The following is a 27,381-nucleotide window of genomic DNA, read 5'->3' on the forward strand; positions in this document are numbered from 1 at the left end:
CTACTGTGAATATTAAAATATTACACTAGTCTCACAGAGTGTAGAATAGTAACAGACTTTGTAGATGAGCTGTGGGGCCTTGGACAGGTCACCTAACCTCCAATTCATTACATGAAAAATAGGAATAATTCCTGCCTCGCGGTAGGGAACAGATAAGGTTATAAAGATTGAATGAGATAACATACATGCAATGCCTATAATATAGCAGTTACTAAATAAATATTAGGTGTTAATTACCCTTTCTCCACCATCTCCAGCAAAGTTCAATAGGACATTTTGACAACACATAATTGGAAGTTACCTCTCAACTGTATAATGCGCTTCTTTATTTTTCATCATTCAATGTTCTCTCATAATGATGAAATATTTTTTCACCAATAGAACTTGCTTCAAAGTCACTTACTTCCTCTGCTTACCAGATGACACGATGATGATATCATTTTTAAAAGGCCACTACAAATATATTCATTAAAGCAGTTCTGACACAAGTTTTGGCCTAAGTTGTATGCTGGCGTATAAAATAAAATCAGGGATATCTGACAATGACTTTGGGAAGCAGAAATGCTATAGAGAGGAGAAGCCCTTGACCTGCCTACTCTCTCCCCAGCACCAGGCAGGATACCCTATTTTAGGAAGGGAAATCTATCATTTTCTTAAATAATGCTTTCCAATCTTTAAATACCACTCTGTTTGCATATATTTAAGTAAAGCTGACCTTTTTAAAATCCTTACTGGAAATGATGAATATCGTTAGAAAATTCCATTCTATGAAATTCTTGTTCATTTCATGAAATCACGCCTTTGGTCTTGGCCCATTCAAGTTTAAATGAACAAAGCAGAGTAGGAGGGGCTAGAGCCTCCCCGATGGAGAGGTGCTGAGAGACAGGTTCTGTTGCAGGCACTGAAATAAGCCCAGTCTATCAGACCAAAGGCAACATCCAAGGAGACAACAGCAGACAGCTGGCGGAAGTCTCACTGACCGCCAAGAGTCAGGGAAGATACCAGTTTTGAGGCCAAGGGAGGACTCAGTGCCTCTCCTCCAGGGACAGGTAGAGATGTCCTCACCCAAAGGCCACATTCAGCAGACATGGGAGAGGCCCACAGGCTCCATTCTTTAGGCTGGGATTCAGAGGCAGCGGCTAGTGTCAAAGGATGGGAGTTGATCAGAGGAGACAAAGTGTTTATTCTCATGTGACTGACCTAATGAACAGGAAGCATGATGCGGAGGCAGACAGGGTTAAAGAGGGGCACTTCGATCTCAAAAATAATATCCAAAGTAGGGCACAGAGTCAGAATTGACTAATTAACAAGGACACTGCAGATCCCCAGAGTGATGACGCGGAGCTCCGTAAGCCCCACTTCCTCCAGTGCCATTCCTTTCTACCAAGGATAACATAGCTCAGAGAATAAGTGTGTAGATAAAAGCATTTAGTGAAAGCCAACGATGTGCCTCTGCTCCAGGCAGTGGGAAACCAAAGATAAAAAGACAACTGTCTGCCTCAAGAAGCTCAAATCTAGAAGAACGGGTGAAAAGTACGGATTATATTAAATGTGAGGAGTGCCAGGCTGCAAATGGCCACTGCATGCTGTAGCACAGAGAAGGCCACCTAACCTACATGTGGTTATGTCAGGAAAATCTTCTCAACTATATTATTAATAATGTGTTTTATTGAATTAAATCCTTGGGGAGTACTACGGCAGTCCCCCATTTTCCCTCCTCTAAAGAGAAAACATTTATTTGTCTTTTTTTATTTTTAAACATTTAAGAAAATCCTTCCCACCCTTTACTGAATGAACGCCCTCTCAATTCTCTCACAGCATTGCTGAATCAGACAACTGGTGCAGCATGCCACCCACAAGACCAACTGAGCTTCCAGCTGATGATGGCATCAGAACCCCACACATGAGAAAAGGCACTTGGCAATCTATCAACATGGTAACTATCCGATCTACCAGGTCATTTCCTAGGCAAAAATTCATGGGAGCTCCAAATCAACATTAATAATAAGTTAACAAATACCTCCTGTTATCAACAAACTGCATGCTTTGCCAAAATGTAGTGCTTCAATGAATTAAATGAATGACTTCCTCTTCACAATTCTTTGATGAGACAGGATTTATTGCATCCTTTCTACAGGTGAGAAAACTAAGATTCAGAAAGTTAATTAATTTTCTTGAGGTTATATAGCTAGAAAGCAGGGAACCAGAAATCAATTTCTGTTCTGTTTGTCTCCCAAGCCTGTGGAAGTCTAAAAACCTGCCTCTCAACTACAGTCTTACTCCTTTGCAGATTATTCACTGCCTGGGAGTGTTCAAGCACAATCTCCTTTGGGTTATGCAAATTCTCTTTTTTTTTTTTTTTTTTTTCTTTTTTTGAGACGGCGTCTCCCTCTGTCGCCCAGGCTGGAGTGCAGTGGCGCGATCTCGGCTCACTGCAAGCCCCGCCTCCCGGGTTCACGCCATTCTCCTACCTCAGCCTCCCGTGTAGCTGGAACTACAGGTGCCCGCCCCCACGCCCGGCTAATTTCTTTTTGTATTTTTAGTAGAGACGGTTTCACCGTGTTAGCCAGGATGGTCTCTATCTCCTGACCTCATGATCCGCCCACCTCGGCCTCCCAAAGTGCTAGGATTACAGGCGTGAGCCACCGCGCCCTGCTGGGTTATGCAAATTCTCTAACATGATGTAGTATTGGCTATTTTCAAAGCAGTTTGTCATGTCCACTATAACCAGACCTCTATGAAACCTCAAGACTCCCTGCTGACTGGAGTCTTAGGTCTTACCATGGCAAACAGAGCTGACCCTTCACCATCCAGACCCTGGTGAGCTTTCCAGCCTCCTCTCTGGCCATCGTCCCATCACCTTCCTCTGCATTCTTCACTCTATGCAGGAGCCAGCCGGGGTCCACATCCATGGTGCTCCCTCTGACCAAAGGCCTTTCCTACTTTTCTGCTTGGTAAATTGACTCACCTATTCAGGGCCCAAGTCACTCACTTCTAGGAGGCTTTGCCTGCCTCCTCCCCACTCCCCATACCCCTCTCTGTCTCACTCTGCTTTTAGAATGCCAGTAGAGCAGTACTCACCCACCCTGCATTATTACTTGTCAACCTCTCCCTAAACCCTTTCTATCCAAGCCGTGGCCCATGGACCAGCAGCATTGATGTCTCCAGGGAATCTTGAGTCGTCTTCAAACCTACAGCATCAGAATCATCATTGTTAATAAGATCCCCACAACTTAATGTGCATTTTGGACTTTGACGAGAACCTCTCTCAGTGTCTGAGTTTTGGGAAGAGAGAAGTGGCATTTGGTTTGTTAGTTCTGAATATTTTTAAGAGATGGGGTCTTGTTCTGTCACCCAGGCTGGAGTGCAGTGGTGCAATTTTGCAGCCTCAAACTCCTGGGCTCAAGTGATCCTCCTGCCTCAGCCTCCCAAGTAGCTGGAATCATAGGCACAAGCCGCCATGTCTGCTTTGTTTGTTTGGTAAAAACAGGATCTTGCTATGATGCCCAGGCTGGTCTTGAACTCTTGGCCGTAAGTGATCCTCCCACCTAGGCCTCCCAAAGTGCTGGGGATTACAGGTGTGAACCATGGCACCAGGCCAGGAGTGGCATCTTATTTATTCTCAGAACTTACCCCAGGGCCTAACACTGAGTGACTACTCTGTAAATGTTTGTTGAATCAGAGTGAATATGGGCTTTCACTTGATTCTCACAACAATCCTCTGAGTTAGAAACTATTATCTCTATGTAATAGATGAGAAAACTGAAGCTAGAGACTTTTTAAAAAATTTCCTAAAACTCATACATAGTCAATAATTAGCAGGATGAGGGCCAAATCTTCTAATTTCAAGTTCTGTATTCTTTTCATTTCTCTAAACTATTTCCCATGAGTTATAAATAAGAACAAATATTTATGCAATAACTCCTACAATATGCATTTTAGCATAAGAATATTGCCCCAGGCAGGATTAGCAGCCACTCTGCTTTCATGTTCAGGAAGTGAATGTACCCTTTCATTCCTCTAGGTAGGAATATCTATCCAGCATGAATGGTGCATTGTGTGCAGTACTAAACATGGAGAGGAAAATGAATCGAATCAGCTCCTGCCCTCATGGAGACACCAACAAATAAAGAGTAATCCTCTTCCAGTGTGAGAAGAACCATGTTCTGAGTGTGTGTGTGTGTATATATATACATATATATACATATACATATATACATATATACATATACATATATATACATATATACACATATACACATATACATATATACATATATACATATATACACATATATACATATATACACATATACACATATACATATATACACATATACATATATACATATATACATATATACACATATACACATATATACACATATACATATATACACATACATATACACATACATATATACACATATATACATATATACACATATACATATATACACATATATACACACATATATATACACATATATACACACATATACACATATATACACACATATATACACACACACACACACATATATATATATACACACACACACTACGTGTATAGAATAAAGAGAAAAACATGAGGAACGGCACTTTACCCAACCAATAGCACCTGCTGCAAAACAAAATCTAGTAAGGTAAGACACAGAAAAAGACCCACCAGAGCGCCATTCAGTTTTCAATGCTTCAAAGATTTACACACTCTTCCTATTATCATTAATGGCTATTATGAACATAATCTGTCCCCATGCACCAAGGGGAGAATAAATTCCTCACAGAGGGGAAATAGAGGGTATTCAAAGAAAAAAAATATTTTATGCAGAAAGCTGATGCCTGCTAGTTGATAATGAATGCAGTAGGAGTAATAGTAATTTGTTTAAATTCCTCATTAAATGAGTCATAAAGGTCATGGGGCAATACTAGAAACACACACACACACACACACACACACACACACACACACACACACACACAGCATCTCTGAATTATCCAGCAAAGCAACAATGTTAAAAATGTCTTTTTAAAAAAATTAGAGCTAATTAAATTAAAAATAAAAATCAGGATTAAACTAAAAATAAAAGGGAGCTGGAATTCCAATAACTTTAAATTATATAGATCATATAAAAGCAGAAAAGTAGAAGAATGGATCAAACAAGAAAACCCCTCTGTGACAGTCCATGCTGCCCCAAGTCACTAAATCTGCAGATGACAGAAACAAAATAGAGAGATACATCTTGTGCACAGGAAAAAAGCAAGCATATTCCTAAGTGACTAGAATACATGAGTCTGGTGGGTTGATAAGTGACTTATACAGATCAAATAGGTGTTAGATAATGAGGCAAGGGAGCAAAAATATTCTTAGAGGGTAAAAGCTCACAAGTCAGCAGTATAGAGGCATTCTCAAGAGCAGAATCATTGCATATTTTAACGCCTTCTTGGCTAATAAGAATAAAACAGGCAGGCAAAGTGGAAATATGGGACTCAGAACATAATTTCTACTTCCCTGGGAGCAGCATTTCTTAGGGTGATTGGGAGGTTTTTGCTCCTCATCAGATCTTTATTAATCCATTGTCATGTCTCTGTGTTTTATTATTCCTGCCAGGGTAACAGATTCTATTCATGCTTTCAGGTCATAAAGTGTACCAGCTAACTCAGGGGACTGAAAACAAAATTAAGAATGAGGTATGGCACGTTCCTTTTCTTCTCAGAGCCTCGGCTTTTTCCCCTGAAAATGAGGCTAATAGACACTATCCCCTAGGGCGGTTATGTGAGAGAATAGACACTTGTTGTATATCCCCCAAAGGTGATAAAAATGGTGTAAGTCTCCCCGTATCACGTTGAGCCCATGGTGAACACTCAGTAAACATGGACTGCTATTATCATTGCACTGGAAGGCTTCCCACCATCGAGAGTCATTAAATCCAGGAGATTGGGAGCTGTTTTCCTCTGGAGCATTTTATTTTTGTTCAAAAGAAATACAGCACAGATTTGGCCAAATCCGCAGACAAATTGTCAAGGCCAGGAATAAAGTCTGTTTAGTACACTCTGAATATAGCACCTAACACACAATTATAAATATAGAGTGCTTAATGGGGAGTATTTGATTTAAAAAATGGTAAAATCTATTGCCAAGATTAAATGAGATGACCTCTTTGGAGTCCTTCCACTAGAGGCAATAAAGAATAAAAATGAACATTAAATATGTATGTGCTCTCTATCTCAAACCCATCTGGCCTATGATATCAATACTGGGCCAGAGCAACAAATATGTGCATCTTCATATTTCTAAACTTCAAAAAATGGCCCATGCAGTACAAAACCCAAGAGCATTAAAAATGGCCTTTGACTCTGCTTGTGATGCACCACCCGTAGCCACCATACCCAGAGGTGAACTGTAGATCAAAAAGAATTACTATGGTGCCAAAGAGACTCCCATAAAATTGCACTACGCTATTATACCATTTTGGTTGCCTTTGGGAAATATGTAAGTCAAAAGTATCTAACCATGGGTAAATAAAGTCAGTTTGCACTTAAGAAAATAGAAAAGCTGATGGAAGAATTAAGTTTGCTTATTTAAGTAGCCTTTTATGTAAAAGGGTTAAGAACACTACTTCCACCTTCTGCCAATGAGCTATGTTCTTCTGAAAATTGGAGCAGTATACTAACTCTGATGTGACAAAATTTGAAAATGCTAATGGGGCAAGGTTCTGTAAACTCTGTCTCTATACCTTATTATATCTTGCTATTGTATAGTGGACATCGTTCAATAAGAAGTAAAGTAAATATAAAGGGCAACAAATCAAAGATTGTATTCTCACAGAGGAGTGGCTCTGGATGAGTGGCAATCCCAAGGCATAAACATCTCTTCTACATTCCAATGCTCTAAGAATGGAAGACCGATCTCCAAAGATCAAAATGACCATTGTTGTTTAAAAACTACCATTTGCTTAGAATAAAAAACAAACTGTCCTGAAATAAGCTTGCCATCTATATCATCTTATATCCAGGAGGACAATAAGCCAAGAAAGATAAAACAGAGAAAAAGCAGTTGAATTAGTTGAATTACAGTATATTTCATCATAGAATGATAGTGTACCCTTAAAAAAAAAAATCCAGTACAGTTCAAAGAGAACATCATTTCTAAACATTACAGGCAAAAAGAAAGGTTTTTTAAATTTCATTTTGTGTTCAAGTTTACTGCAAATTACATACGACAATACAGTTCTTAAATAGTACAAAATGAAGCTCCAACTTCAATTTTGGTGCTGTGGTTTTTATATTTGTGTAGTTGTTAAAATAAGATGGAATGTTGGCATAACTATCAGACAGCAGAAAACAAGCTGCTGAATGAGGAGGAAAGAACCAAAGAAACAGTGGAGAAGGGAATTGTAGTTTGAATGGAATTTTGGTGCAAATGGTGGCGATCTGTTGTACAGTCTGCATTAATTGGGTTATTTCTGAATGAACATTTGATTATTATAACAGAACATTCTATGTATAATCTCGTAAAACTGTAAATTCCTGGCAGAGTCACTTTGAAAGTATGAGGCTGACAAGCCCTTCTTTTGAAAAACTGAGAACTATTTGCATGAGAATTATCACTCTGAAGCAAGCAAATTCCAGTGCTGTTGACTCACTGCCTCAGCCACCTACACTGGGGCTCCCAGGCAGAATGGGTTCCAACCCACTGTACGTGGGGATTCCAGGACCCACCAGTTCACGGGAGTCACATGAGAAATAACAACAGGAAGAAACTTTGCTGCCAAATAAAAAGAGACCAAATCAACAGAAAAACAGTAAGGACATTTTGTTTTATGGTTTAATTGGATTTTTAAATTATTATGCCCTAGGATCTATCTGAAACATAGACTCAAACAAATGAAGAAAGGACTTTTAGGAACTTGAAAAACCATGTATACTTATTATGGCAAGTATGTGCCTCTCAAGTTCAACATGTCAAACACATGATTTTATCCTGTTGGAACAAAAACAGAAAAAGGAGGTAGAAGTCTTCATACAGAACTCTCAGCCCCTCATTAAGAAGTTGGAAATTGTATTTAGCTGTACAGAACAGAGGAATACATGACTGCTAATTTTCTAACTCATTCATTTTTGTTAAGTTCTAATAAGGCAACTGGATTTTTCTACTTGCTAGGCATCAAGCATCATTTTGAAATATTAATAAATCCTTAGAAAGCAGAAACCATGTCTGAATGACTCAGTATACATTGTCCGTTGTGGCATCACTTACAAAAGGTTACTGAGATTGACGAAGTAATAAATGATGAGTTCAGCTGGGCGCTGTGGCTCTCACCTGTAATCCTAACACTCTGGGAGGCTGAGACAGGTGGATCACTAGAGCCTAGGAGTTTGAGACGAGCCTAGGCAACACAGGGAGACGCGGTCTCTACAAAAAATTAGCTGGGCATGGTGGCGTGTACCTGTAGTCCCAGGTACTCAGGAGGCTGAGGTGAGAGGATCACCTGAGCCCAGGAAGTCCAGGCTGCAGTGAGCTGAGATTGCACTACTGCATTCCAACCTGGGCAACAGAGCAAGACCCTGTCTAAAAAAAAAAAAAAAAAAAAAAAAAAAAATTTGCTTTAAAGGGCATTGTAGGAAAATTGAAAGTGACCTCTACTTGGCGGAACTCCTCTAAAACCTAGGTTAAACCCCATTTCTACCACTATCTGGCTGTTAATCCTGGACAAATAATAATACTTAATTTCTCTGTGTCTTGATCTCTTCAGCCTTAAAACCAGGTTTATAATCACACATGCCTCCCAGAATAGTGAGAAAATAATGTTAAAAGCATTTAGCATGGTGCCTTTCACATAGTTAAGCACTGAATAAATGTTAGCCAGGGTTTTTTTTTTTTTTTCATTTTTGTTTTTGTTTTTTGCTAACATCAAACAACGTTACAATTATTGAAAAGGTTTTAGCATAGCTAGAGCATTCTCTGTCCCAAACACAGATCAGAAGACTCCAAAGTTCAGGCACAGAATTAAGCAGGAACACATCCTTGTTTCTTATATTCCCACTTAAAAACATTTTCAAGACAAGAGAATAATATACATTTTCAAAATTTCTTATAAAATCTCAAATTTCAAAAGAATAAAGTGACACAGAAAGCAATCAGTATTTTTTCTGATAGCCAATACATTACCAAAATTTTAAATTCTGTATTTTATCTGACTAATAAACTTACTTGCTTCATATTACGAAGACTATAAGCATAGGAAAATAGAAAATGAGCACAAAATCAAATCCGTAAGTTGAAATTATCAAGGAAGTTACAAGTAAACAATCTCTCAGAGCAAGATCTAACAGACTTTTTCCATAGAGGTCCAAATGGTCAACTTTTACGCTTTGTGGGCCACATAAGGTTTTCTTCCTCTTCTTCCTCTTCCTATTTCTCTCCCTTCCTCTCCTCTTCTACCTTTTCCTTCCTCTCCTCTTCCCTCTCCTCCTTTAACAACTCTTTGAAAACACATAAACCATTCCTAGCTCTGTGGCCAAACAAAAACAGGCTTCAGGCTGGATTTGGCCCTGGGGCATAGTTTCCTACTCTTTTTATAGAGCAGGGATGGGCAAACTACAGAACACAGGCTAAATGCTGCCCACAGCCTATTTTTGTAAATAAAGTTTTATTGGAACACAGCCATTCCCATTCATTTACAAAGTGTCTACTGCTGCTTTCCCACCCCAAAGACAGAGTTGAGCAGTTTTAACAGAGACCCTATGGCCCACGAAGCCAAAAGTATATACCATCTGGCCCTTTACAGAAAAATGTTTGCCAATCTCTGTTCTAGAGTAATGAGAATACTTTGTTACTATCACTCTTCTCTATCTCTTTCCACTACAGGAAGAACTAGAACAAGTGGTCTTAGTTACTTCATTGGGAGTTATTTTTTCTTGCCAATGTTAAATACCATAGAAACCAAACATCATAAATTTTATATGTGAAAGTGTTAGGTAGAGAAAACTTCCAGACATCCACCTGTTTCTTTAAATGAGTTGCATGTATTTTCATAGTCTTTGTAACAGCAGAGAATAGGAAATACTACTTCTTACAAAATGTTGAAAGAGAACAATATAAAGTGGAAATATCCAGAAAAAAAAAACAGAATATGATATAGAATATAAACTTAAGCAGGAAAAACACCCTTTTGTGGTATATGAATATTGGGTGAGCTTGCATGGTGCCTGAGAGAACACAGTGGCTCATTTTATTCAGGACAATGACCAATTCTGAAAATATTGCTTCTACCTATCCATTTCAATTTAGTATATAAAAAGGTATAAAGCTATGTAAACAGAGCAAAACACCATATATATCTGCCTATATAAATAAAAAAACCTAACCCAAATAAAATCATTTCCAAAAGTCATATTTCTCAATTAGCTTTCTCTCAATTCTGTAAGCAGAATATTCATTCTAGAAATTAAACTTGGAAAGCACTGTGAAATTGTTTTTATATGTATTTACATTTCACTTTTTCTCTGCATGATGCATAACTCAAAAACTCCTTCCTGCCCATCTCAGAAGCTCCAGGCTCTGGCTCCTTTCACCCCTACATCCTCTAATGTTCACACTGTCCAGTTTAGGTGGAGGCCAGTGCTACCTCCAGAGATGGACTCTTGCTTTGCTTTCCAGCAGCAGACCAGAATTTGAGTTGATCATATCCAGTGACCTCAACCCTAGAGTTCAGGATTCGACAAACACAGAGGGATTTCTATTGAACTTTCACCCACACTCCTCAATCATCCATCCTTCAACCTGAGCAGTTAACCCTTTTCATTGGTGCTTAAAACCATTTCCCATATTGGTTTGCATTACTGCTTGGAAATTGAAAATCCTAGCAGAATAAGACCCGTGAGGGCAGCGATCATGTCAGCCCTGCTCATCAATGTATCTTTGGCCTTAGCTCAGTTTCTGGCACACAATAGAGGCTTAGTAAACACGGATGGATGGATGGATGGATGGACGGACGGATGGATGGATGGATGGATGGATGGATGGATGGATTGATGGACAGATATAAACTGCAAACATCAGAATTGTTATTGGTTTCTAAACCATACAGAGCTTATCCGCAAATGTCTTTGCAAACCTATTTGAATAGTTGAAACATAGTGGTTCTGGAGTTCATAAATGTAAGGGATCTATTAGCAATTAATGATGACAAGGACTTCAGCAAGCATAAATAGGCTAGATAGCCAGGTCTTGGAACCCATCAATCTATTGGTCTCATTTTCAAAAGGAGAAAATGTTAGTTTTTGGAAATACAGGTCAATAATTTTATGTTGAGAACCTGAAAAAATTGCAAATGGTATTATTAACCAGATGTCCTAAAAAACTTACTCAAGAAAAAGTAGATTACCAGCAAGCAATACTATATCACCAAGAATAAACGGTGTTAAATTTACCTCAACTTTGGTTTTGACGAGAAAATACTACAGGTATAAAGTGTCTTGATTTTTGTAAGATATTTGATGAATTAATATTCTTTATGATCAAAATGGAAAAGTCAAGTTTGGATGACAGGACAGTAAGGTGTATTCAAACTATTGAAAAATTATCACTAAAGGGTGCTATTAATAAATTAATATCTTCACTTTCTTACATATACAGAGTGCCCAACTAGAACTAGCAGAAATGAGCAGGAGGCACAAGCTCATTTGGAAAATTATGAAAATGCTAACAATTCGAAACGTTTTAAAATGGATGAAACAACTTTTGGAGTCTTTAAGCACCTGTTCAAGCACATGGTGACTCTGACTGTCCAGAAGGAATGATTTAGAATGGTGGAAGAAAAGGAAATTCTTACATTCTTTTCACTTCAAAATTCTGAGAGTCTATGAAATATCTATATACAAGGGAAACAATGGCCTGAGGAAAAGTCATATGGGCAGGTTCTGACTCCAAGTTAGCTTTTCAAGCTTAATCTTTCTTTACTCTTTTTAAATTTATTTTATTGTATTTATTTATTTTTAGAAACAGGGTCTTGCTCTGTCACCCAGGCTGGAGTTCAGTGGCACAACCATAGTCACTGTAACCTGGAACTCCTGGATTCAGGCAATCTCTCATCTCAGCCTCCTGAATAGCCAGGACTATAGAAGTGAGCCATCACTTTAAATTTTAAAATCTTTACATCTTTAGTAGAGACAGGGTCTCACTATGTTGGCCAGGTTGGTCTCAAACTCCTGGGCTCAAGCATCTTCCAGCCTTGCTGTCCCAAAGTGCTGAGATTACAGGCATAAGCCACCACGCCTGGCTAATTTATGTAATTTTTAAATATCCAGAAGGATTCATTAAAAACATGGCAAGAAAAGAGGATGTGGGAGTAAAATAATAGAGTAATATATAATAGAATAATAATATAAAATAAAATGATAATCTTATATAATACAATATATAATGTATATATTAGAATGATATATAGAATGATAATCAAAGAACTAAGTAAGAAGATTGCCATGCAATTACCATTTGCAGCAACAATGATTTAATCATGATTATAGCTCTGGTAGATATAAAATAGTTGTACTTTAAGTATTAACACTATCAACGGTCAGTATGGGGCAACAGTGTGTGCATGTGAGTGCGTGTGAGTGAATGTGTGTGTGTGCATGGGCATGCCACGTGTGTGTTTTTCTCCTAAATATTTAAGGCAAAAGCCTAAAGCAAATGAGGCTATTTCTTGAAGATGAATGTTCAAAGTAAGAAGAACCCTGTAATTTCTTTTACCCATGGATAACATTCTTTATCTCCCCATCCAGTCAGATTCAGTAAGCGAGAATCCTTAATTTCCATTAATCTAACCACTACTAGATTGAAAGTGTGAAAAACAACAATAAACTAACCACTTCATGTAGTTCAGATTTTAGGCAAGCTTATTCTTTTTAGGAAATGCTGAAAGATGCCTCAAACCACAAATCAGGCTTTATTTCAATAAATGTTTGTGACCACATATTGATAATGATAGGAGGCAGCCAAATGCCTAGACAGATAGGGCAGGTCCCTGGTGAAACCCCACCTCCAAGCCAAAGACAGTTTAAAGCCTGAAAGCCAAGCTACAAGTTAAATCCTCCGACCAGATTGAGAACTTGTCTTCCTGTTCGATGCGCTTTCCTCTTATTGATCCCCACCCTTCACCTATTTTACATATCCCTACCCTTTCCTAATTGGTCTTCTACACCGTCATATCCAACTTTGAGTGGTGTCTTTGCCTCAACCTTTTGCCTATAAAGACCCCAGACTCAGTCAGTAGAGGAGGAGACGACCTGACTTCAGGGAGGTGACAGCCTGACATCAGGGAAGATGACCTGCCCTTCTCTTCCCCTCTCCAGCTGAGAACTGTTTTCATCACTCAATAAAACTACCCACCTTCACCATCCTTCAACTATCTGTGTGACCTCATTCTTCCTGGATGCCGGACAAGAGCTCGGGACCCACTGATTGCGGGTATCCAGTAAGGCTGTCACACCGGCCCTTTGCCCTTGACGGCGGAGGGCAGCCACCCCACACAACAAGGCAAGAGGCCAACTGAGCTGCTAACACACCGCTGTCCGTGGACAGTGGAATTTAAGGAGCACTGTAACATCCTCTCTGGGGCTTTGGGGTCATGGGCACCCTCACAGGGGCGCCACCACATTCCCCTCAAGGTGACATGCCTGGTCTGGCCACGGGCCCTGCATGGAGCTTGCTTCTGTGTCAGCACCCAGAGTGGCTGGCCGGATCCTACGCTCGCTTGCTCATGTGCTGCCTCCTGCAAGGGGTTGAGTGTGACGAGCCAAGTAGAGGGGGCTCCCCTGCCGTGAGTTGGTGAAGGGGCTGAGAAAAATCCTGCATCAATATGTCCAAGGTTATAAATGTGACAATTAAATCAGGGGCAAAGGACATGAACTGGCCAAGGATACTGTATCACAGGACAAGAATCTCCTAGAATTGTACTTGTGTCCTACATAAGTAGCAATCAGATAGCAACGTAGTAAGCTTTCATAAAAATAAAGACACCTAATATTGCATACAATCAAATATAAAATAAAGCATTTAAGATAGAAAAATCTAAAGAGTTAGTCATTTATGGCTCAGAGCCGTGGTAGTATATTTTTTAAACTCTGTGTGTGTGTGTGTGTGTGTGTGTGTGTGTGTGTGTGTGTGACAGTCCCCAGTGAGAATCAGTCTGAGACCTCTTTCCAGAAACATATACACGTACACAAATGCAGGGCCCAGACATAGATCTTCTATGAATATATGTATAAAGCCATAATTCAGAGGTTCCAGTCCGATTCTCAATAAAGGGTATTATACAGTACATCCATCTCCTATTACTCAAAAACCTCTCTTTAAGAAGTAAAAGCTTTATCCCTAATTGTTACAGCTTTTGAAAAGGAAAACACACCACAGTCCAATTTTCTACGCAAAGTAGGCTTGGCCACCTATCTTCCTTCTGCTCATAACTAAAATGTGTTGGCGGTTCTGTGTCTCCTCCACTCTTGCTGCCTGCCTCTCCTGTCCTCTATTTCCTTTAATCGTCACCTTCCACTTTAAGACTCAGCTGTTGCACAAATAGCCAGATCTTAACCTTCTGAGTTTGCATACCCAAGCCATCAAAAACTGGTAGAAAAAGCCATCTTTCTCCTAAGTGGAAGGATTCTGGATTTGTGAAATACCAGTCAATGACCATTAGCTTCTCCTCCAAGTCAGCCAGTCACATGGTCTTTGGGTCACAAGGCTGAGGGCAAGGGGATCAGAATTCATAGGAAAGTAATGAATAATGTTATTGAGGTTAAAGGTGAGATACGCAATCTAATATCTGATGATGGCAAATTTCCTAGCTTATTTCCACGTAAAGAAGAAACAACCAGGATTGAAACTAAATGTACCGCATACTGTTTTTTAACCTAGCCAATGCCGTAACTTCTATTGTGTTTTGAAGATTTGTAAAAATGTATGGTATAGGACTCCAGATACAACAGTATTTTAGGTACAAAACACATTTGATAGAGATTTTCCCCTATCAAAATAGGTGAAAATGTGGAATAGAGATTCATTCTTGCCTAAATACTCCTATTTCTACTAAGCAAAAAAAACTAGGTGAAACAAATTAACTCCTGAAATAGATTTTACAATTTAAATGAGTATGTATCAATAGGTCTTAGCCTTCGAAAGGAAGGCATCTTTTTTTAATGTATGTTTTTAAAAAGAACCGTTCACATGGAGTTTGTTCTGGGACCAGAAAAATAATTGGAAGATCTTAATGAAAATATAGAATAAAGAAAACTATTTTAATAGAACAATAATCATCAAAATAGATTAAAATTTATGAATGCATATCTCCACCTAAGGAAAAGCAGCCATAGTTGTAAATAGAAAATTTTCTGAGCTTGAAGGTTAGAACTTTAAATGCCCTTCTTTTACATGGTATAACTTTTTACAAAATACTTTCGGTTTAACATCACAAGTTTTTTAATTACAGTGTTATCTTTATTCTACTTTGCCCCACACAAAAGGGACTGGAAATAATCTTGCATCTAGGAAAAATAACTAAAGAAAAAAAAAGAAATAATATTGCATCTAGTAAATTCCTTCCAATATTAATATTTATGAGTAGGCTAATAGTTAATCACTTTGAAACTTTATAGGAAATAATTATAAAACATAAAAAGGAAGCTTGAAATATTTTTCCTCTGTTTATTATTTTTGAAATATTTTTCCTCTATCATTTTTGCAAACCATATATCGCCAGGTTTACATACGGGTCCAAGGCACCTTCTCTCATCATTCCAGAGAAAAATGAAGTATCTCCCAACAGAAAGTATATAGCTTCACTATAATTCATCTGTGTGCGAGACAGGGAAGGGGCATATTATAATGGGAAGGAACAGATTTTGACGCACCTGATCCATATTTGAATTCCAGCTCAGCCAGTAGCCTGCTGCATACTCCTGACTTCTCTAAACCTCGGCTTTCACATCTGTGAAACAGGGCCCACACTATCTTAGAAAGATATAGTAAAGATTACAAACAAGGCCGGGCGCGGTGGCTCACGCCTGTAATCCCAGCACTTTGGGAGGCCGAGGCGGGCGGATCACAAGGTCAGGAGAACAAGATCATCCTGGCTAACATGGTGAAACCCCGTCTCTACTAAAAATACAAAAAATTAGCCAGATGTGGTGGTGGGCACCTGTAGTCCCAGCTACTCAGGAGGCTGAGGCAGCAGAATGGCGTGAACCCCAAGAGGCGGAGCTTGCAGTGAGCTGAGATCGTGCCACTGCACTCCAGCCTGGGTGACAGATCAAGACTCCGTCTCAAAAAAAAAAAAAAAAAAGATTACAAATAAACATGTTCCACCCATGGTGTGTAAATAATAGGTCATATTTCATATTATTTGGACTATTCATTAATTGATTATTCAACGATTTTTGCGTGTTAAAATCTTGTTCTCCTAGCTGCACTGCAGAGCAAGGTCTCGCATCCATAGTTAGCTGGATGATGACATACTGAGATTTCTGCAAATTGATATGGATGTACAAGAGGCTGGATGTGCAAGGCAAGTGTACTGGCAAGTGTACCAGCAAGAATGAGGCAGTGTGATTCCTTCATCAAAAAACAGGTGGGGCCAGGAGTGGTGGCTCACGCCTATAATCTTAGCACTTTGGGAGGCCGAGATGGGTGGATTACCCGAGGTCAGGAGTTGGAGACCAGTCTGGCCATCATGGTGAAACCCTGTCTCTACTAAAAATCAAAAATCAGCTGGGTGTGGTGGTGCACGCCGGTAATCCCAGCTACTCAGGTGGCTGAGGCATGAGAATCACTTGAATCTGGGAGGCAGAGGTTGCAGTGAGCCGAGATAGCGCTACTGCACTTTGGCCTCGCGACAGAGCAAACTCCATCTCAAGAAAAAAAAAAATACAGGTGGGTCTAAGAAATTTCCATTCTATTCCCCGCCTGTCCCTCTCTGTCTTTGTTACAGGATACCTCATCAAATGAAAACACAATGATGACCACATACACGGGTAACCAGAGCTATACTACCTTTCCTGGGAATAGCAGAGCACAGATGTAAAGACTGAAAGATGACGTGTTATATTTTGGTTTGTGATTCTGCTAATACCCCCAGGACAATCATTTCTGAAACTATTTGTACCCTTACTTGTATTTCAGACTTTAGCGCACAGTTAAGGAACGATTTTTAATACATTTTCCTCCAGACTACTAGCATTTCTTTATCTATATTAAAATTAAAGATTAGTGTTAAAATTAAAAACTAGTATCATGAAAATCCACAAATAGTCATAAGATATCATTTTAGTCACAACTCCTTGCTAATTTACTATGACATCTCTATGTTTCAAAATTAAGAAGTCCAAGTGGCCAGATTTATTTTTAGCTTCATTTTAATTCTAAAAGCCCTAGCTTTTAGTAACAAGTGATAACGCTGTGAATCAGGCAGTCAACTAAAGGAAAAGAAGCAGCAAAGAACTGGGGTAGCAATTTGCCGGTCAAAAAGTTCAAAATTCCGAAGTGGGAAGGACATGGGGACAGCTGTGGAGTGGGGAGCTCCTTCCGCTGTGGGGTCCGGTTCGCTTCTGCCCGGGTGTGCACGGTTTCTCCTTATGTCTCACTTCTAACCACAGGACAGCCCTGGTGCAGACTCTAGCCTGCTCCTATCTTCAGATTGACGTTCAGCAGCTGAAGGATTATCTGTGCTGACACGTCTGATTAGAAATTACCAGTTTACTTTCAAATGTGTGGAGACCACAGAGGGGCCAACATTTACTTTCTATTCAGGTTTATCTACCTTGCAAGGAGCCCTAGAGGAGGCATCTCTTCCTTCTGCTTTATTACAATTCAATTTTACTTGTAAACGAAACCTACCCCAGGGGATTTCTTAAATGTGAAGGTTTCGCTTACCTCTTCCTGGGACCAGTGGCTCTTTGGCAATTCCATTTGGGACTTGTTCCTATGTCTCCAAAAGTAGAGGAAATAAGCCCATTTTTCACTGCTCTAATTTAAAATCATTTTAACAGAGTTCATACAGACTAGGTTTGGGTCAAAATGATTTACTAGTACAGCACAGTTAAAGTCAGTAAAAATACTGGGGCCATGAATGAGAATAGATTGCTTAGGTTGGTAGAGTTTACTGCTTTAAATTTTGTGCTAAGAAAACTGGTGGAGGCTGACATCAAAGATGGTAAATTAAGCATTAGTTCCAATTTGTGGTGTGACAGGTACTAGTATTAAATAGCTGTTCTCCCTATTTCACTAGGAAGCAAAGAAGCAAAGCTTTCATACTATTAACTGGAAAACAAAGAATAAAGTATGCTTACTTCACAAGCAAAAATAAAAAATGGGAATTCAAATCTCTGGCTTTTTTCTGCATTACAAAAGAGTGGCTTCATGATTTCTGACCCGTGCAGCTCCAGAGGGTCACACTTGTTCTGCTGTCATCATCTTGAAATTCTTAATAATTTTTTTTGAGACAGGGTCTCACTCCATTGCCCAGGCTGGAGTGCAGTGGGGTGATCATGGCTCACTGCAGCCTCGACTTCCTAGGTTCAAGTGATCCTCACAACTCGGCCTCCTGAGTAGCTAGGACTACAGGCATGCACCATCATGCCCAGCCAATTTAAACAAATTTTTTTTCTAGAGACAATGTCTCATTACGTTGCTTGGGCTCTTAATAATTTTTGAACAAGGAGCCCTGCATTTTCATTTTGTATTCAGTCTCCCAAATTATATCACCAGTCCTGCATTAGATATATGAACATTATTATTCTATTACCCTTACCTTCTTACCAACAGAATGTGTTTATTCATTCATTCACCCAATGTCCTAATCTGTTGAGACCTACTGTGTGCTAAAGATGCAAAACGCTCCAATAAGACAGATAAACTCACGATCTTCATGGAGTTAAAAATGAAAAGAAAAAACAAAACAGTGAAAAATGATAACACTTAGAAAAATACTTAAGTGCTAATGTGACCTTTAAAACTTTAACAAAAATTTCACTGGGCAGTTAAGAAGGTTACAGTATTCCTAAATTGAACAAATATACCTGATTTTGCTGCTCCTCCTGGTCTTCCAGAGCACCCCCGCCTTCTCTCCAACAGGCTACACCCTAAGTGAGAAAGCAGTGTTCCTCCAAGGAAAATTGAAGTAGCAAGTACTTGAGGGCCAAGTGTACGCATTTCAGGAAACTGCTTTTCAAATTTGGAAAGGTTAGCATTTTAGAAAGGAGCATATGTGCTTCCAAGTACAAGTTAAAAGAATGAAACTCAATGTGCACACACATTCAAGAGCTCCACTTGTCTCTAAGTATCAAGCTCTAAGCACCCCAGTGAGCTATTATCCCATTAGATGTATTTGGATCATCTATGAGAGGCAGTCTGGTGTGATGGTCTTAATGAAAAACACAACATCTGCATTAATTGGTGGCTTATGAGTATCTTTCCAACAACTCAATTTTTTTTTTTAAGACAGAGTCTCACTCTGTCGCCCACGCTAGAATGTAGTGGCGCTATCTTGGCTCGCTGCAACCTCCGCCTCCCAGGTTCAAGTGATTCTCCTGCTTCAGCCTCCCAAGGGTGGGACTAGCTACAGGTGCATGCCACCATATCCAGCTAATTTCTGTACTTTTTTTTTTTAGTAGAGACGGAGTTTCACCATGTTGGCCAGGCTGGTCTCAAACTCCTGACCTCTAGCAATCTGCCCACCTCAGCCACCCAAAGTGCTGGGATTACAAGCATAAGCCTGTAATCCCATGAGCCCAGCCCCAACAACTCAATATTAATGCTGACATTTGATAATATTTTAAAATAGAAATGTCTGGTAGCACACAAACAAGCATGTCCTGGCAGCTTGCCAGAAAAGACACGTTATCCATCAACCAAGACTGAATTGAAGAGAAGTGTTCTCAGTGCATTCACCACCTTTAAAATACACACGGGCAGCATGTCTCAACCCATATCACTGGAAATTTCTCTTTTCCTTTCCAGGAAAAGAGCAACCAAGTTAGTTGTTATCTAAAGTAAATGGTTGAATCAATCATCATGGAGTGATAGGACAAAAGCACCCTACTAAAGACCCCTGACAGAAATGATTAAATCAGCATAAAGCAACAGCCGCGGACTACCTCACAGTAACATGTTCAACTGTTGGGCATTTCTGTGCTGTCTGTATGAGTGCAACTAAAGTAGGAACAGATATAAGAAAATCGTCTTTTGAAATTAACTTGACCAGAGATATATACATTTAAACAGAATTTTATTTTAAGCATTCAGTCATTGGCATCCAAGACAGAAAACTGCATAGAATCTGCATTGTGCCATGAGGTGTGAGAGTGATGGACACAAGAAGTGACTTAGCCAAAGGAAGGAAGGAAATTACCAGCACAACACAGAGGACACGGGGCAAGCAAGTCATGAACCCCAAATCAGTATCTTGCTCAGGTAAACACCTGAATTCAAAAGTTTCCAGAATACGTTTCAACAAGTCATCATTCAAATGCATATAAAAATTGTGACAGGTACAGGTTATGCTAAGAGGCCACAGTCGGGGGCCAGGGGAGCTGACAGTCATCTGTGGTAGATGGTGCTCTCCCAAATCCCCACCAAAAACATTGCTCATAAAGTTTCCCAGGAGCTCAGGAAAGAGAAGATTCCCTCCAGCTGGGCAATCAGAGGAGACTTCATGGATAAGTCAACATTCAAACCAGGCCTTAAAAGGCAAATAGGTTTGGGGTCTGTGAAGAGAGGAGAGAAAGGTGAAGGGAACAGCGTTCAGCAAAGGCACAACAATGTTATTCTAATCTTATGTAACCTCTCGTGTAACTAGTGCACAAGAAACATCAGAAGATTCAGTGTGGCTAAAGTAGAATAAACAAGACCGGGGTGAATGGATGGTAATATGTCCAGTAGTGCCTGGGGTAACACTGTAGGAGGTCTTTATCTTACAGGGAGCAGCCAAGGTATTTTGAGCATGAAAGGGCCATGCTCACACCCAAGAGGATTACTCTGGCAGCAACATGAGGCTGCATAGGAGTGAGGCAGGCATGCAGGAAGGGAGCCCAGGCCAAGGGCAGATACTCTCCACCCACCACAAGTCTTCTGAGCCATTTTGAAACAAATGTGATAGTGCATCAGGACACTAAACGAGAACAATATTTAATGCCAGAAGGCTTTTTAAATGGTCACCCAGCAGGTCATGACCCAGCAGGACATGACTCTTGTAACAGCATGCTTCCATGACATAGAGGTATATACTACATTAAGTAACTCTCTTATAGTAAATTCAAGACAATGAAATTTCTTGTCATTCTATCAGATTCAGCTTCTAGTTTCAGATTAATTCAGTTTTACAGCACATTCTTCTGTCCCATTTCTGACATCAATTTCAAAAATTTTTTTATCTTTTTCTAATAATATACTTGTTACAGTTTTTAAAGAATTATATACAACCATCAAAGATATTATTTTCTTTTTATTTTGCTCAATTCCCCCGAGGATCAGAAATGAAAGCTCCGAAACCCCTCAATTGAGCCCTAATCTTAGAAAATATCACTTCAACATACACCTGCAAATATCACTGGCAAGTTTCATTTTGTGAAGATAGAATAACGATCTAGCAATATAACATGATACTGAAGCTTGCTGTTGGTAGAATAACAATGGCATCTTTCTGAGGAAAAGAGTCTACTGACCAAAGCAATGAATTTATAAACTCCTCAGGGTCACAGCCCTGTAGTACATTTACTTCTTTGTTCCCATAGTACCTATCACAGTTTCAAGCACAAAGCTGCAGCAGAATCTTAAGATTAAATGAGAAAATGTATATAAACATTTATTGTATATTACGAAGTGCCATATTAAAAGCAGCTGGCATTAGTTGACTTAGAACTCTAAAGAACTAATTGTACTTTTAATTGGTCTCAGTGGTTATGCAAAAGAGATAAAAATACAAATTTATGAACAGGTAGTAATCAGACTATAAACACATGAAAGCATATGGGAAGAGAGATGGGGAATTAAAGATGGGGTCTCACAGAAGGGACAGATGATATTTAAAATGCCATCAGAAGTAAGAAAACCCATTATGTGGTGACAGGTGTTAAAAAAAAAACTTGTCCAGACACTGAGAACATGCATAAGGATATCTGCATGGCATCTCAAATTATGATCTGTGGAGGTCAAATATATCTAGTAACACAGTATATTTACCACGTCCTGAATAAGAAGTCACCTACTAATAAGAATATTACAAGTCCAAAAATCAGCTAGCTAAGGAAATGCAGTGGGAAAGCAATAGAAAACTAAAAGTAGATGAAAATAGAACCAAAGTCCTTTCTTTGTAGTTCTTCCTTTACAGTTCTTTATAATTCTTTACTGTTCTTTCTTAGTCTGCTTCTGTTCATTACGTTACCCCCAATATCTAGAATGTTTCCTGGCACAGAGCAGGATTCAATAAATATTTATGTAACCAACTGTTGGTAATAGCGACCATTTATTGGGAATCTACTTTATCATGCCTGATATTAGGTAACTTACATGTTTTTAAACTTCACAAAAATTCAAAGAGTTAATATTACTATTAGGACCTAATATTACTATTACATCCTGTAAACAAAGGACCTGAGGCCAAGAGTCTGTAACTTGTCCAGAACCAGGAAACTGATGAACAGCAGAATTTAACCCTGTCTGTCCAGATCCTCTGTTCATTTGCTTTGCACGACAACACATGGCCATAGAGTAATGTGAACACACGAATAAAGGTGGTACTTTAAGACTTGCTAATACAAGAAAAAAGTACTAACACTTCATTTTACTTACAGACTTGAGGAAACAGTTTTTTCTGGAATCTGACTGCATGTAAAATCCTAAAGCATCCCACATGGGGGGAAAATGTTATTCTAATCCCATGCTGTAAGTAATGCTACAGAAACAATCTGCCAAACCCTACAAGCCTAACAAGCTAAATAAGGAAAGTATAGAGAAATGAAAATATTTCCCTGGTCCAATATTTTCCACCATCTTAGAATCCCATCAGATTCAGAGTTCCAGATCTGCCTCATCTGGACTGCAAGATTATTATGGTAAAACCACTCCACACAAAGTACAATTGTCTGAAATTACACTGAAGTCAAATGTACATCAAAAGGTGCCACACAGGGAAGAAGAGCTCACCGCTGTGTAATTTAATGAAACCTACTGAGCACCAAGGGCACAGACAGCCAAATTGAATTTTAAATGTTTCCTACCAGGAGGCTATAATCAGGATAGCCACCAGTGGGTGGATGAGATAAACGAACTGACTTTCTTCCACCAGGCGATCAAAATAGAATACCATCTTTATGCATGAGACAAAAAAAAAAAAAAAGAAGAAGAAGAAGAAATTAAAATATTCAGCTTTCACAATCTCTCTCTCTCTTTTTTTTTTTTCTAACTACATGGTCACTTCTAGATTCTGCTTTCCCCCAAGGTATCTTTTGTTAATGAACATCATAATTGTTTTCCTACTTTGATTTTTATTGCAATCTATTCCAGACCAAAAACAAACCAAAAAAAAGTGCTATTCCTATAAAGTACAAACTTCTCCATCATCCTGGTCCACCAGCGTAGTAACTGTTAAGCAGCTGGCACTATCTGAGGGGAGGCTTAAAATTATGATTAAAGTAGACACAGCTAGGAGCTTGCCTTTCAACCAGCACAATCAAATGTAAAAGAAAATGTCAAAATTCAAAAGCCATGTGTTTTTAAGAGTAAATGAAGTAGTATCTACCCACGTGAAGGTTTTCAAAACACTGTTTTCATAAATCTATGTATTTTACCCTGATCTTTCTCATGAGCTCTATGCCCAGTGTTTCCAACTGTCCATTTGGCCTTCCACCTTAAAGTCCCTGCAGAACTTGAACCAAAAGCTGTCCAGAACTCAACTCATCCCCTTGCTTCCTAAATCAGGCCTCCTGTAGACACATCAGTCTCCAAAAGCAGCGGCCTCATTCTACGAGGCTCATGGACTTGAAAAGAGAGAGCTGCTACTGATGCATAATCTCACATGACAATCAGTTGCCAAGTCACGTCGACTGCATTTCTCATCCCATCTTTCATCTCGCTCTCTTTCTGTCTTACATGTCCCAGAGTCCAGGGTCTCATTCTGCAAATCGCTAAGAAGAGGGTAACAAGACCCAACCATGTGAATTGTAGTCCAGTGAGACTTTTATCAAACTGGGGTATTTGGAGGGTAAGGCCATTAAGGAAATCAATGCAGAGCCAATCCTACAAAGCAGGATCAGGGGAGAGGATGGAAATGTAATGATCATGTGGCTACCACAGCTAACCCGCAACCAATGGGAAGGCATTTCACAATGCAGGAATTTGATCAGTAGCAAAATATTCAAGAGATCTGAACGTACCCTTGCCTGGCCCTTTTGTGGGGGTGTGGTTTTAATGGCAATGCTGAAAATTCAGGAGAAAGGATTCAGGGTCTGCAGCTGAGTTTGGCTAAGACAGACAGACGATGACCTTGTTCCATAGCTTACCCAATATGTGTATCTTACAGGATCTTGAGGATATCAACCAAACAGCAATCATCTTAGCAGCTGCATCATTCATCTGTACAATTCCACACACCAGATTTTGAGCCTCCTGAAGACAGACATCGTCATATTTAAGTCATTATTCAACACAAGGCCTAGCATCTGCCATTCTGCAAAGTAGAAATTGGATCAAAAGCTGCAAAATTGAACTGGGTTAAAAGTATATATACAACAGCTTTTCAAGGAGGCCATATTATATTAAGTCTCAGGTGGAGAGCAAACTATTATTGCATTCTCTGTCAGGCACTTTGGTAGGCTCTGGAAATAGTGCGGTGATTAAAACAGACCTCTGACCTTGGGGAGTTACAATCAGAGAAGAAAGATATTATACACCTAATTGCAAAAATTAAGTTATCACAAGCATACAATATTTTATGAAGAAAATGTACAGGATGCCAAATTCTTTTTTTTTTTTTTTTTTTTTTAAGACAGGGTCCTGCTCTGTCACCCAGGCTGGAGTGCAGTGCACAATCTCAGCTCACTGCAACCTCTGCCTCCCAGGCTCAAGTGATCCTCCCCCCTCAGCCCCCTGAGTAGCTGGGATCACAGGCACATGCCACCATGCCTGGATAATTTTTATGTATTTTTTGTAGAAACAGGGTTTTGCCATGTTGCCCAGGCTGGTCTTGAACTCCTGGGCTCAAGCAATTCACTGGCCTCAGCCTTCCAAAGTGGTAGGATTACAGGTGTGAGCTACCACATACGGCTGGGTGCAAAACTCTAACAGTTGTACCTCCCAATCAAATACCTAGACACCAGTGTTAACTTACACATTCAAATAATATGTAGAGAAATTCCAGAATGACATTTTCTCTTTCCAAATTACAATAATGGTTACCTCTACCTCACAAGGACTAGCATAAGTGAAAGAATCCAGGTGCCTTCCAGCCAACAAACCTTCAAGTTAACTCTTCCACGGTTTGCCTAAATGAACAAATTTCTCATGCAAGCAAGTATAGGGATAAACAGCAACTCCTGGTTCATACCTCTTCACCTCTTCATTGGCTTTTAATCTCATCAATATCCTGAACAAATCCTCAATGCAAGTCCTTCTGGCCACTGCCTCCCTCTCCAGCTTCACCTGACCCATCCTCCCTCGTGTCCTCCGGTCTAGTGTGCCTCGAAGGCAACTTGCTCCCTCACACCCAAGCGCCTCGTCTTGTCCCTGCTGTTCCCTCTCTGAGAGGCTCCCTCCCCTCCTCCTCCGTGTCAGGCCTCGACTCCAGCCTGACTTCCTTAGGAATGTCTTCCTTGGCACCCTTCTAGGTCATGCCTGCCTGTGACATATTTTCTCTTTCTAATGTTTATCATGTCTGTAATTTTACTTTCATTTTGGGGAGAATTTGATTAATGTTTGTCTCTCTTGCTAGATTTAGATTATTAGTAGGCAAGATCCAGACTTTTCTGAGCAGCAATGTATCTCCAAGGCCTAGAGCAGAGCCTGACACCTAAAATACATTTGTTGAATAAGTGAATAAAAACAAAGAACCAATGGCCGGGCACGGTGGCTCACACCTGTAATCCCAGCACTTTGGGAGGCTGAGGCAGGCAGATCACCTGAGGTGGCCTGATGAACATGGAGAAACCCCGTCTCTACCAAAAATACAAAAATTAGCTGGGCGTGGTGGCACATGCCTGTAATCCCAGCTACTCAGGAGGCTGAGGCAGGAGAATCACTTGAACCTGGGAGGCGGAAGTTGCGGTGAGCTGAGAGCGCCATTGCACTCCAGCCTGGGCAACAACAGTGAAACTCTGTCTCAAAAAAAAAAAAAAAAAAACCATTAATTTTTTTCTTTATGTTTTTATATCTAGTGTGTACCAGGGTAACTTCCTTTAAGACTAGAGTTAATATTCTTCTTTGGAGTAATTTTATGGTAGTAATATTCTTACGTAGACCTGACTATAGAGTCTATAAAGGAACAGGCTTAATGTCTAGGATTATAATTTTCCCTTTAGATTGGGTAATGCAAACCCAAGTAAGAAGGGCAAAACAACAAAAACAACATTCCAACATATACCAAACTGCAGAAAATAATGACTCCATTGTAGTTCCCTTCTAGACATGAAGAGAACATGGAAAACCTCATACTTTTACCCAAGACAACTGTGCACACACAGCCAGGAAGAAGAAATAATACAGGGAGCTTGGATTGTTATGGGGAGCCAAATCTTGCCAAGAACGAGAAGTCTATGGTGACTCTGACCATGTACCTAGATTCCCACTTTCTAGCCACACACATGTTGAAATGACATAGTCCTGTAAGGAGTCCACTGCTTTATGTGTGTGCCCAATTGCACCCCACAGCACCCCAATACACCCATATGGAAGGTGCATTAGTAGATTACTGAGAGGGCAAACAGGATAATCTCATCATAAGATGGCATTAGAGGCATGTGCTTTAATTCAACTTCTAGAGCTTGAGGGAATACACAGAAACAACTAGGAAATCCATGCCTCATACATAGTGAGTCTTGCTAAGGAGCACAATATCAAATGAGGATTATATTTTATCACAGAATCATAACATTTACAGCTTGCAGGCACATTGCTTTTCCCAAAAATGTGATATGGCAAATATATGAGAACTATAAATTACACTAGATTGACAAGAGTACGTTTTGTGTGTCACGGCCTTCAATGCAATTGGCTCTTGGGACATACCATGAGCATTAACTCATAGACAACAATCAAGGGATAGCTAGTTTATTTGCTTTACTCTAATACGTAGCTGTAACACAAATAACATAAGCTGTGAAAGCAATCTATTAGGT

General features: G+C 39.6%; 1 protein-coding gene across 2 annotated transcripts in view, besides 5 other annotated features; it reads right to left on the minus strand.

Annotated features, from left to right (window-relative positions):
* The window catches only part of LHFPL6 (LHFPL tetraspan subfamily member 6), a 260,302-nt gene that overhangs the window by 215,266 nt on the left and 17,655 nt on the right, over positions 1-27,381 (minus strand). The gene's annotated exons all lie outside the window — the stretch shown is intronic.
* Positions 5,326-5,826: an enhancer, noted in NCBI's record as "H3K27ac hESC enhancer chr13:40137620-40138120 (GRCh37/hg19 assembly coordinates)". NCBI's record gives its function as "activates a minimal SCP1, AML or CMV promoter by ChIP-STARR-seq in primed H9 embryonic stem cells {active_cell/tissue: H9 hESC(primed)}" and the evidence as "EXISTENCE:reporter gene assay evidence [ECO:0000049][PMID:30033119]".
* Positions 5,827-6,327: an enhancer, noted in NCBI's record as "H3K27ac hESC enhancer chr13:40138121-40138621 (GRCh37/hg19 assembly coordinates)". NCBI's record gives its function as "activates a minimal SCP1, AML or CMV promoter by ChIP-STARR-seq in primed H9 embryonic stem cells {active_cell/tissue: H9 hESC(primed)}" and the evidence as "EXISTENCE:reporter gene assay evidence [ECO:0000049][PMID:30033119]".
* Positions 6,880-8,079: an enhancer, noted in NCBI's record as "CDK7 strongly-dependent group 2 enhancer chr13:40139174-40140373 (GRCh37/hg19 assembly coordinates)". NCBI's record gives its function as "activates an origin of replication core promoter dependent on BRD2, BRD4, P300/CBP, MED14 and CDK7 cofactors, with strong dependence on CDK7, by STARR-seq in HCT116 cells {active_cell/tissue: HCT116}" and the evidence as "EXISTENCE:reporter gene assay evidence [ECO:0000049][PMID:35650434]".
* Positions 13,016-13,583: an enhancer, noted in NCBI's record as "H3K27ac-H3K4me1 hESC enhancer chr13:40145310-40145877 (GRCh37/hg19 assembly coordinates)". NCBI's record gives its function as "activates a minimal SCP1, AML or CMV promoter by ChIP-STARR-seq in primed H9 embryonic stem cells {active_cell/tissue: H9 hESC(primed)}" and the evidence as "EXISTENCE:reporter gene assay evidence [ECO:0000049][PMID:30033119]".
* Positions 13,584-14,150: an enhancer, noted in NCBI's record as "H3K27ac-H3K4me1 hESC enhancer chr13:40145878-40146444 (GRCh37/hg19 assembly coordinates)". NCBI's record gives its function as "activates a minimal SCP1, AML or CMV promoter by ChIP-STARR-seq in primed H9 embryonic stem cells {active_cell/tissue: H9 hESC(primed)}" and the evidence as "EXISTENCE:reporter gene assay evidence [ECO:0000049][PMID:30033119]".

This window comes from Homo sapiens, chromosome 13 (genome assembly GCF_000001405.40).
Source record: "Homo sapiens chromosome 13, GRCh38.p14 Primary Assembly".
Taxonomy (NCBI): domain Eukaryota; kingdom Metazoa; phylum Chordata; class Mammalia; order Primates; family Hominidae; genus Homo; species Homo sapiens.